This window comes from Homo sapiens, chromosome 11 (genome assembly GCF_000001405.40).
Source record: "Homo sapiens chromosome 11, GRCh38.p14 Primary Assembly".
In the NCBI taxonomy this organism is placed as follows: domain Eukaryota; kingdom Metazoa; phylum Chordata; class Mammalia; order Primates; family Hominidae; genus Homo; species Homo sapiens.
In genome coordinates this window covers 127,104,203-127,114,906 of record NC_000011.10, presented here as the reverse complement: position 1 = coordinate 127,114,906, position 10,704 = coordinate 127,104,203, and the positions used below count along the sequence as shown (strand labels likewise).

At 45.2% G+C, this 10,704-nt stretch overlaps 1 long non-coding RNA gene across 1 annotated transcript; it reads right to left on the bottom strand.

Moving 5' to 3' along the window:
- Positions 1-740: 740 nt before the first annotated feature.
- LOC105369562 (uncharacterized) lies at positions 741-5,405 on the bottom strand. The gene is made up of 3 exons (XR_001748079.1): positions 4,990-5,405; positions 3,678-3,819; positions 741-878 (listed from the first exon to the last, which is right to left on the bottom strand). It is a non-coding gene; the product is annotated as an uncharacterized LOC105369562 (long non-coding RNA).
- Between the last annotated feature and the right edge of the window lie 5,299 nt (positions 5,406-10,704).

Genomic DNA, 10,704 nt, shown 5'->3' with positions numbered 1-10,704 from the left:
CTTGATTGAAGTCATATGGTTAGAAAGAGCAAGACCTGGAATCCACCTCAGATAAGCATAATTACAGACATTTTACTCTTTTTTTTTCTTTTTTCCTTTTTTTTTTTTTTTTTTTTTTTCTGAGATGGAGTCTAGCTGTGTCGCCCAGGCTGGAGTGCAGTGGTACAATTTCAGCTCACTGCACCATCCACCTCCCAGGTTCAAGCAATTCTCCTGCCTCAGCCTCCCGAGTAGCTGGGATTACAGGCTCCTGCCACCACGCACGGCTAATTTTTGTATTTTTAGTAGAGACGGGGGTTTCACTGTGTTGGCCAAGGTGGTCTTGAATTCCTGACCTCGTGATCTGCCAGCCTCAGCCTCCCAAAGTGCTGGGATTACAATCATGAGCCACTGTGCCTGGCTTTACTTTTTTACTTACTAAATAATTCCCACAATTATTTTCAAATATAAGCAAAAAAAAAAAAATCTAGAAATAGCCAAAGAAATCTATAAATTGTGCAGAAAAGTAGTTGTGTTTTCCGGTTTACCGTCTACAGGCAATACTTGGTGTGTGCTTACATTCTCAGGCCCTAGTGGCTGCCATTCCTTATCACAAATAACTTACTATCAAATCCATCCCAGAAAAGCCAACGTGAGTAATGGGCAGGGCTTGGCACATTCTGGCTCCCAGGGCACTTCCTCATAGAGAAGAGGCAGGGTCAACTAGCAAGTAGGCTACAAGCTGTGGCAGCAACCCCGTCCCTCCTGGCATACCTCAAGCTTGTTATTCTTTTGTAATGTCTTTTTCCTGCAACATGTTGCCAGATGACTGTTTTTCCGCTGTTTGCTCTCCAGGCTCCCTTGATGAAGGCAGCTGCTGTTGTTCAATCAGATTTTACCTGTAAAAAAAATCATGGGGTAATTTCCTAAGCCTCTCATATCCTGCTAGGAATGGCTCTATGTATGGTTTAATGGACAGGCAAGCACGTACAATCCAATCAGGTATCAGTGCATATAAGGAATACATACATATATATGTATACACACATATAACACACATATATATGTGTGTGTGTGTGTGTGTACATATACATATATATGTATACATACACACATATATGTATACATATAAAAAATACCCATATATGATACGTATTAATAGAATTCATTATTACAGCATAAAAATTTATGTTTACATTTACATTTAGATGTGCTAAGGAGATGGAACAATATGGAGGAATCGTAGCCATTCAAAATTATTTGAGGAAGTTTTACTGGTGGAAGAAAATGAGTTCTATGCAGATTTTGAAAGGAGGAGAGAAAAGATAAAATGCACATTCCCACCATGAGAAGTAATCATCAGGTAGCAGTGAATCAGGCTGACTATAGAACATGAGTTTTGATATGTTTACAATTTATCTGAGGACAATAAATAATCCACACTTTAAAAAAAGAGAACAAAAGTAAAGCAAACAATATAAGACATCCCATAAAATGCACTGCTAAGTTTTGTGTTCTACATGAACTTTTTCTTTCCTACCACCTCCCAGGGGAAAGGACTCCTCTGCTGTGGAAGGAAAGAGACCCAGGACAAATGCTGGGCTTCTGCCCTTCTTTGGCTTCCTTATCTGGTTTCTTCTGAGCCCAGGTCAGACCCAGGAGATCCCTACAGGAGATACACGCAGGATACATCTTTCTAACCTAACACTTCTTTGGAAGTTATCAATGTACTGACTCCTACCTGGAAAAGGGTGAAAGATGAAAGTAAGAAATGCTATAATATCTGCCTATGCCTCTCTCTCTCTCCTGCTCCAACCTGTCACCTCTGACGAAGAGAGTGAAAACATGTAGCGACAGCCTTTGGAAGGGGAGGATGGTTGCTGACTGGGCTCTGCATTCTGTGAGCAGTGGTGTTTGTCCCTGATGCCTGGGCTCCAGGGAGGATAGGGACCACTGCAACTTTGGGATAGTTCTTCTCACTCTCCTGGGAAATAACTTCTTTTTTATGACAGCAGATATACCCGAGGGCTCACAGAGCTTTAAAACTTTCATCAAGAAACCTCCCGCTACTTGAGGGAAGTTGCCTTTAATCTTCTCATATCACACACACATAATCAGATGCACTCAGAGATTATGGATCCAAATCCTATGGAAAGCCATTAGCACACTGGTGACCAGAATGGGGAGCTCCGGATGCCACCATATTTAGACACATTTCTTATCTTTCTAGGGCTTCTTGCTACTTCCTCATCTCTGTAGCTAGATCTGGCTTGGGGAGAGAAGGCCACCCAGGTTTTCTGAGTACCTCTCTGTATTAAATCCTTCCACATTTGTGATCTCACTTAATCCTTACCACAAGCCTTCAGGGTAGATAATATTATTATCAGCCTTACTTTATCAAGGAAGAAACTACCTTGCCTAAAATCAAACAGCCAGTAGGGGTTTGAGTCAAGGGCACATTGGTCTGATCCATGCCCCAGACCCCTTCCACCACAGCATGCTGTGAAGACAAAAACTGATGCCAGAACAGAGTTAGCCAAAAGAAAGGCATTGCCGATGTCAGGCAAAGCACTTTGGAAAAGGAATGTCTGGGTAAGTGGGGGTTTGATAAATCAAGCATTCAGCACAGGTCAATTCAGGACTGTGGAGGCAGAACTGGCCCCTGAGCTGAGGGTGTGGCACAGAGCAGAGTGCCCAGCTCCAGCAGGGTCCTAGGAACACTCTGGTGCCCTGTTGAATCACACTCATCCTTCTCTAGCCCAGGGCTCAGGTCTTTGTGCCTTCAGCAAGACAGTGAAGCAGGAAAGCTGGACCTTGATACATCCTTCCACCCAACACGCTACCCTCTCTTTCCCTCTCTTTTCCCCTCCCATGATTGTTTTAAAGATGCATCCCCAGAAAACTCTTCACCTGTGTTGTTTTTATCAACGTTTTATTTTGTTGGATGTACTTAGTCTTTGTTTCTGCTCTTCTCCTAACCTTGGATCTTTTTTGCATCCTTCTCATCATTGCCCCTTTTGCTTTCTGAAATATCCCCCAACTTCTTGCTCTAATTTCCTATCTATTTCTCTTCTGAAATACGAAGAAGAACAAAAGAATAAGAATAGGAGCCATCCTTTGCATCTCCCTGAATGATTCATTATTTGATTTTTTTTCATTACATTCTTTGAATGAGCTTCATAAGATCTATGGTAACTAGATACCCCATTTGTGTCAACTGTTCTTTTGATATGTTGGCACTGTCTAAATAAGCATTTCAGAGCATCTTCATTCCCCTGTTTTTGTTTCACAAACCTGGTGGTTGGGTTTCCAGCTAAAGGAAGAAGAAAAGAAAGAAGAGGTTTGCAGAAAGATCAGACAGGCAGAGAGCAAGCCCTTGTCCAGTCCCTAGGTTACTCAGGCCTTTGTTTTGTTTTTGTTTTTGTTTTTGTTTTTGTTTGAGGGGAGGGGGGAATTGGACAACAATTCACTGTTTTTGTGTACACAGACACTTGCACACCCACACACATTTCAGACTGAGAATATCAGTGTTGGACAGGTACAAAATCATATAGACCAGACCATTCATTTCAGTGATGCAGAAACTAAGACCCAGAGAAGCAAAGTAGCTTCTTAAGATCATAAAACCAACCAATGGGTAAACTGGAACTAGAATCCAAGCATCCTGACCCCCACATTTCAGAATTTTTTCTACTGACCTGTCTAAAGATGGAGCTCTGAATCTTTCTGACTTCCCTTTTAGTGATCATTTTTGGCTCTATTATCCATGAACTTATCTGAAGTCTTCTGGAAGCTATTTCTGTTTTCAGTGTCATGCTCCCAAGCAAGAGTCTGAAACCACTGAGATGGAGGAAGATAAGAATGTGAAGGGGTTTATTTTTGTGCATTCTCAGATCCCTGACCTCTTTCCTCCTGAGGGAGTCAGGGGCCTTACAACTTAGGAGAGAGATATAAAGGCGAAGGACTTTGTTTTGGGAGGGGCTTCAGGGCAGGCCCTTTGTTAGCATTTCCCGGGAAACCAACAATCTTCCTCCCATAGGTAGCATTTGGCAGCAGACACAGATATAAAAGGGACTTTAATCTGACTCTTATCTTGGACGCCTGTCCAGTTCTCACATCGTAACCCTCAGTGAGCTTCGTGTAGAAGAGGCAAGTCAGTGGATGTTTCAGCCAGAGCCTGGCTTGCTTCCCCATTCTCATTTCCTCATTACTTCCTGGCAGACTTGGGGCCAAACTGCCCAACTAGCTTCTAAATATTGTAGGAACAGACAGTAGAAACCAGCCAGTTCCTTCTCCAGGACGAGATCATGAAAGAGTCAGGAACAGAGCCCCAAGGGCCCGGATTCTCAGGCCACCAGAGCAAGCTCTGGCTTTGTTCTGGGAGAGGTTGTCTTTGCCTTAGTCAGCTGCTCAGAACGGAGAGATTTTCAAATGTCTCTTGAAAATCAAAAGTTGGGAAAGGTCTTCTTTTTAATGACTAGGCCCCCTCCTGTTAATTTCCCAGCAATGTGGCCTTTCATCTTTCCTCGGGTTCAATATAAAAGGGCCCAGATCTGGTGGAGAAATAATAGGAGGAGGGAGATAACCGCAGGACTTGGGGCTGGATTTTTTCCATTTAAACTGGGAAGATACTAGCGGCTTGGGAGATTTGCATAATTAAAGGAGCCTATCGATGCAAAAACTGGGGTGACTGGGGATGAGAAAGGCCACATAAGGGGTGTGGGGGGGACAGAAAGAGAGGAGTGCTACAGTAAAGAGAAATGACAGCTGGTGCCATGGGGAAATGAACCAAACTGTTTTCTTTCTTCTTAAGGAAAATTATCATTTCAACTTTGCTCAGTCTTCTCTGTGACCACTTAGAGGAAGGAAGGCTCCCAATCTGCATGTAAATGGAATGATTTCAGGGAGCACAGAACAGAGAGTAAGCTTTCCCCCTCCCCCTTCAGGAGAAGGCCATGAATGCATTAAAATTGACAGCCGTTCTTTGCAAATGCAGAGGGTTACACTCACCCATTTCCAGCAGCCCTGACAGGCCACAGGCTTCTGTGATTTGGTTTTAGGGATAGAGAAGGTCCTTTGCTCAAAGGAAAGGATCAAATGCTGTCTGGAACTCTACCATTCAATGTAATTGAACTTCTTCCATGTCGCTTTGATCTGTTTTTAAAATACTGATGTCCCAGGAGAAGAGGCAAAGCTCTCAGCTGTTTTCAGTCCTCTACATCGAGGTATGATTGGGAGCTTTGAGAAGAGCTGTTCATTCCTTTAACAAATACTAAAAGCAGCAGCCGGAAGCTGGCATCGTGCTTGGTTCTGGGGATGCCAGAACAAGGAAAAGTCCTGGCCTGAAGAAGTTCACAGTCAGTGGGTTTTGCTACTCAAGGAAAGGGAAGGGGCGCCAAGTGGAGAAACAGACAATTTGAGCTCTATGGAAGGATGGAAGGAGCAAAAACAGGGAGCAGAAGAGCACCGAAGATATGCTTTTTTTTTTTTTTTTTGAGATAAGGTCTTGCTATGTTGCCCAGGCTGGTCTCAAAGTTCTGGGTTCAAGCAATCCTTCCACCTTGGCCTCCCCAAAGTGCTGGGATTAAAGGCATAAGCCACTGCACCTAGCTGGAAGATACACTTTTATGACATTTCTATGCTTTTCCATTTGTGTCGCAAGCTGGCCCCATTTCTGATAAATGGCTCCCTGTTTGACTTCCAAGGATATAAAGCACCTCTGTCCTTATCCCTGCTGTCACTCGAGAGAAAGGCAGAAGGAGAAAGGAACTGTAAACACACACCTGGACTTTTTTTCCCCTAAATCTCCTCCACTCCCACCCCTCAGGGCTGCTTTGCTGCTAAAAGCAGAGTCCTGTCCTCTTATGAAAATCTCCCCTCCATTTTGCTTGGTCAGCATTAGAAGGACTGAGGACTGTGCCTTTTCATTACAATTATTTCTATTTCTGACAGTCCCCTAGGTGGGTCACAGGACAGGCACCTCCGTCTAGGGCTGACTGATGGTCCTCCTGCTGCCTGTTCTGCCTTCATAATTACTTCTGGAGCTGTCACATGACAGCCTGCACAGCCTAGGAGCCAGGGCACCCCGTAAACCCTCCAAGTGTCCGCTGGAAATGCATAGAAAGGTCTTGAAGTTGACGGTGAGTGGGGGCTTATGGGGAGAGGCACACGCCTCTCTTTCACAGAGAGGGTCCGTGTGAAAGAACCCTGGGGAGCCTCCCGTCCTAGGCTTCCAGAAGAGATGAATCAGGGCCTACAGTGTGTGTTTGGGGACGGGGGGCCTCAGGTCAACAGCCTGCAAAACTCACCACCGCAGCAGCACATCCTAGCAACACCGGCTTCTCATGTCACTGCATTGGCCCCACAGGAAAGCTCCTTATTTCATGTCTTCTGAGAGATGTATTCTGAGTTCTGGCTTTGCTGTACCGGACTTAGAAACTTCCAGAGGTGTTAGAGACTCTTCCATGGGACAAAGCTCCTTGTCAGGGGATGGCAGAGTGTTGGCACAAAGAGTCCTCTTGGAATGTCCCAGGAAGGTTGTTATCCTTTGCCCTGACTGTCTAGTGGGGCATTGCAAGGACTGAGCCATTTGCAAGAACTGAGGAGTTGCCCGGTAGATCAGCAGAATTTTGGAAGTCAGCCTTATTTTAGAGCAGCCAACATTTTTGGCACCAGGGACCGGTTTTGTGGAAGACAGTTTTTCTATGGACTGGTGTGGTGGTGATGGTTGGCGGGGAGGGGTCAATGGTTTCAGGATGATTCAAGTGCATTACATTTATTGTGCACTTTATTTCTATTATTGTTACATTGTAATATATAATGAAATAATTATACAACTCATCATAATGTAGAGTCAGTGTGAGCCCTGAGCTTGTTTTCCTACAACTAGATGGTCCCATCTGGGGGTGATGGGACACAAAGACAGATCACTGGACATTAGATTCTTATAAGGAGCAGGCAACCTAGATCCCTGGCTTGCATGGTTCACAGTTGGGTTTGAGCTCCTATGAGAATCTAATGTCCCTGTTGATCTGATAGGAGGCAGAGCTCAGGCGGTAATGCAAGTGATAGGGACCTGCTGTAAATTCAGGTGAAGCTTCACTGCTTGCCCGCCTGCCACTCACCTCCTGCAATGCAGCCTGGTTCCTAACAGGCCATGGACCAGTGCCAGTTCATGGCCCCAGGGGGTCGGAGATCCCTGTTTCAGAAGCATAATGGAGCTTCTGAAGCAGCTTTTCTTGAAGAAAGGCATTTTTCAGAGGGGCTTCTCCTACAAGTCATCTCTGTCTTGATACAGGTGCCAGAAACCCATGACCATGAGCCGACTGTGTTTACTCACTTATTCATCCATCGGTTTGTGTTAAGCAAGTCTGAACCAACTATGTGGGTCCAGTGGAGGATGCAGAGATAAACAGGATGAAGACCCTGCCCCCTAGAAGTTTACTACCTAACAGAAGCCGAGACATCACCGTCTCCCTCCTGGAGCTGATCTTCATAGAGCAAGCTCTGGGCACTGTCCTTCCTGCTTCACAGATGTTATGTCCTGACCCCAGGCAGATCCACGAAGCAGGAACTGAGTAGCCCAGGGTTGCAGGGTTTGCCAACACTAAGGTTGGAAGCTGGTTCTCTGCCTAAAGAGCTCTTGCTCCTAGCCATCATTGAACACAGACAGTGAGGTAGGAGTGGAATCAGGTGCCCACAGAGGGCTGTGCCCATTCAGAGAAAAGACCTGTCACTCATCACTTCCGCTGCCACAGTCTCTGTCAGAGGGCTTTGGAGAGCTGTTTCTGGCTGCTCCACCAAAAGCACCTGGCAGCTTTCCTGGGCCAGCATACAAACAGGGACAAAAAGACACGCCATTTGGATTGGCCCCTGTGTCCAAGAACAGGACATATTTTTCACTCCCTGGCTTCCCAAATACCCCAAGCTCTCTGCCTCCTAGAGGTGAGATAAACATTTTAACTGGGGGAGGCCTTAGAGAGAACCTAGTCAAGTTATTCACTCGCATCCCCTAGTTCACAGGAAAGGAGATTGAGACTCAGGTGAGCTTACCATGGGCCATAGTCAGAGGCAAGGCAGGACCTCTAGCCCTGGGTCCTGGGCCCCAACCCTCTGCTAACCCCCTACCTGGAGCTCACCAGAGAAGTCTTAATGCAAAGTCGGACATCTCAAGAGACGGGAGTGACTGGCTTTTGTGTGTGCTATCTACTAAGTCAAATTGGGCCATAAGCAGTGATTCGGGGGTCTGAGCTCTTGTCAATCTTGCCTCTTCCCAAGCCTGACACTTCCCAAGCCTAACACCAGATTCTGAAAACTCCCACTTAAAGGAAATCTCCCTCGGCTGATTAGCTCTCTGCTTTATCCTAACCAACAGCCTTTATTGAACACACTCTGCTAAGCTAAAGGTCTCTGGAGAATTGATTGTACAATCCTTGCTCTCCTATTCACAGCCTGGGTCTCCGGGAACACCTGGACTGGAATTCCCCTAGACGGTCTGGTTTCCACTTTCCCTCTTCTCAGCCCCATCAATGAACATGCAGCAATGAGAACCTGGGCATGTTTTGAAACTAGCCGGATCTGGCAATCTGGAGAGCGTGTCTGTAACATGAGCTCCCCACTGCCACCAGTTTCCTGAATGAGGACTCAGGGCCATGCTAGTTTCGATTTGGAGAGAATGCCTTACCTAGGGTCATCTTCTTAGCAGGAGAGGTTGTGGAAACAGCAGGCACCATGACATGAGGGGATGGCTGGGGTGGAGATAACATCCCCGACCTGAACAGCAAGCAGGAGATTTACAGGCCTATGAGTCTGGCACCTGATTCAGCAGAATCCCTTTGTTTTATTACACCCTGTGAAATTCAATCATTCCCAGGGAAGGCCTTTTGCCTGGGAAGGGGGAGATTCAGGCTCTGGTTAAGTTAGGATTAAGTTGCTGATTTCAGCAAATGAAAATTAATGACAGCTGCTTGTCTCCCATTTGTGGGGGACACCTGCCGAGGTAACTCAGCCTCCCCAGTGTCAGGATGAGGGCTTGGATAAGTTCTTGGGGCAGGTGATGCCCATTTGGATGCTTTAGCGCACCTCGCCCTTACCTCGTGGACTCTGACATTTCAAAGGGTGAGTTTCCTGCTGGGGCTTATTTTCTTCCTGAGTCGGCACAGAAGGGAGGTGAGGGTTGTAGAGCCGAGCTCGGGTTTCTCAGGAACTCTCCCCCTAGGGCTATCGTGTAGACTTTTGCAGAGGTGGCAAATCACTTACATGTACATAGGCATCACTATTTTCTTTGTGTAAAGCTTGGAAACATCTCCTGCCACCTACCCCGCTGCAAGGGTTTATGCAGTCTTTGTTTATTCCTGCTCAGGACAGGGAGGAAGATGGCTGCTCTCCTTAGAGGTGGTATAAATTTTGGTCTTCAGGTATCTCCATCTGAAATGCAAATACAACTTAGGCCAATGCCTCATCAGGCAACACATTAGCGTGGCTTAATAACAATCAACTGAGACAAAAAAATGAAGCTTAGCATCCACAGTAATGATATTATCTATCATCTATTGAATAATTACTATGTACCAGGTGCTATGCTATGCTCTCTACAAACAATATCTTTCTTTCCTTTTTCCCTTTCCTTTTAATCCTTACACAGCTCTGAGGCAGGTATTCCATTTTACATTCAGAAAGGTTTAGCAATGCATCCAGAGTTACACACCAAATAAATGCAGAGTCAGGAGTTCAACCCAGGCAGTCGGACCCCCTCACCCTTTGCTACAGGTGCTTAGGGTTGCAGGGAAAATTAGGAGAAAGAAACAGAAGAGGAAGGGAGATTTTGCTTCAAGGGGAGATGGGAAGGAACAAAAAAGAGCTTGATGTGGTTGAACAATTAATGTCCTTAGGGTCACACAGACCCTTGTTGATACCTCAAAAGGAAAAGCTCCTCCTGCTCTGTGGGAGCTTAGGCTGTAATTCACTTGTCTCTGTCACTTTCCTTATCATGGTCCCCTTTTCCATTAGCACTACAGTGGGTGGCTCAAAAACACTCCTACTGCTGGTCCCACATCAATACTGTGAAGCAAATATTATATTATTCCATTTTTTTTAACAAGGATCCTGAGATTAAGCTGGGATAATTAACAGGCTGATAGTTACCCAGGAAGTGAGGAATAGATTTATCATAATGATAAAATGAATTCAAGACCAGTATCAAGCAACGGCAGACCTCAATCCACTCTTCCTGGTCTCTCCCTTAGCGTTTTTTCTTTCTTTTTTTCTTCTTGGTCCAGCTTTATTGAGGTATAATTGACACATAAACCTCTGCGTAAGGGTTACTTTCTCTTGGTAGCCTCCCTGATCTTTCACCTCTTTTTATTCTCTTCTAAAAAGCTCATGGTATGTTTCACACTGCGTTTTAGTACCCACTCAATTGTACCTTTAGAGTCAGGGAATGAGTCTTCTCTACTGTTATGCATTCTGGACCTCATGAACATTAAATGAATGAATGAATGAATGAATGAATGAATGAATGAATGAAAAAATGAATGAGCTTACAATGAGAACTAAAATAACATGGGACACAGAAGACATTCAAGAGATTAGCGCCATTCACTCCCTTGGCAAGAGGTCAGCCTCAATGGAATCACTGCTGAGTGCCTCCAGAAGGTGAAATAACAGCCGTCTAGGACAAAGAGACTATTCAAAGATATTTCCCAGTGTTGGCGACTCTGGTTTTTG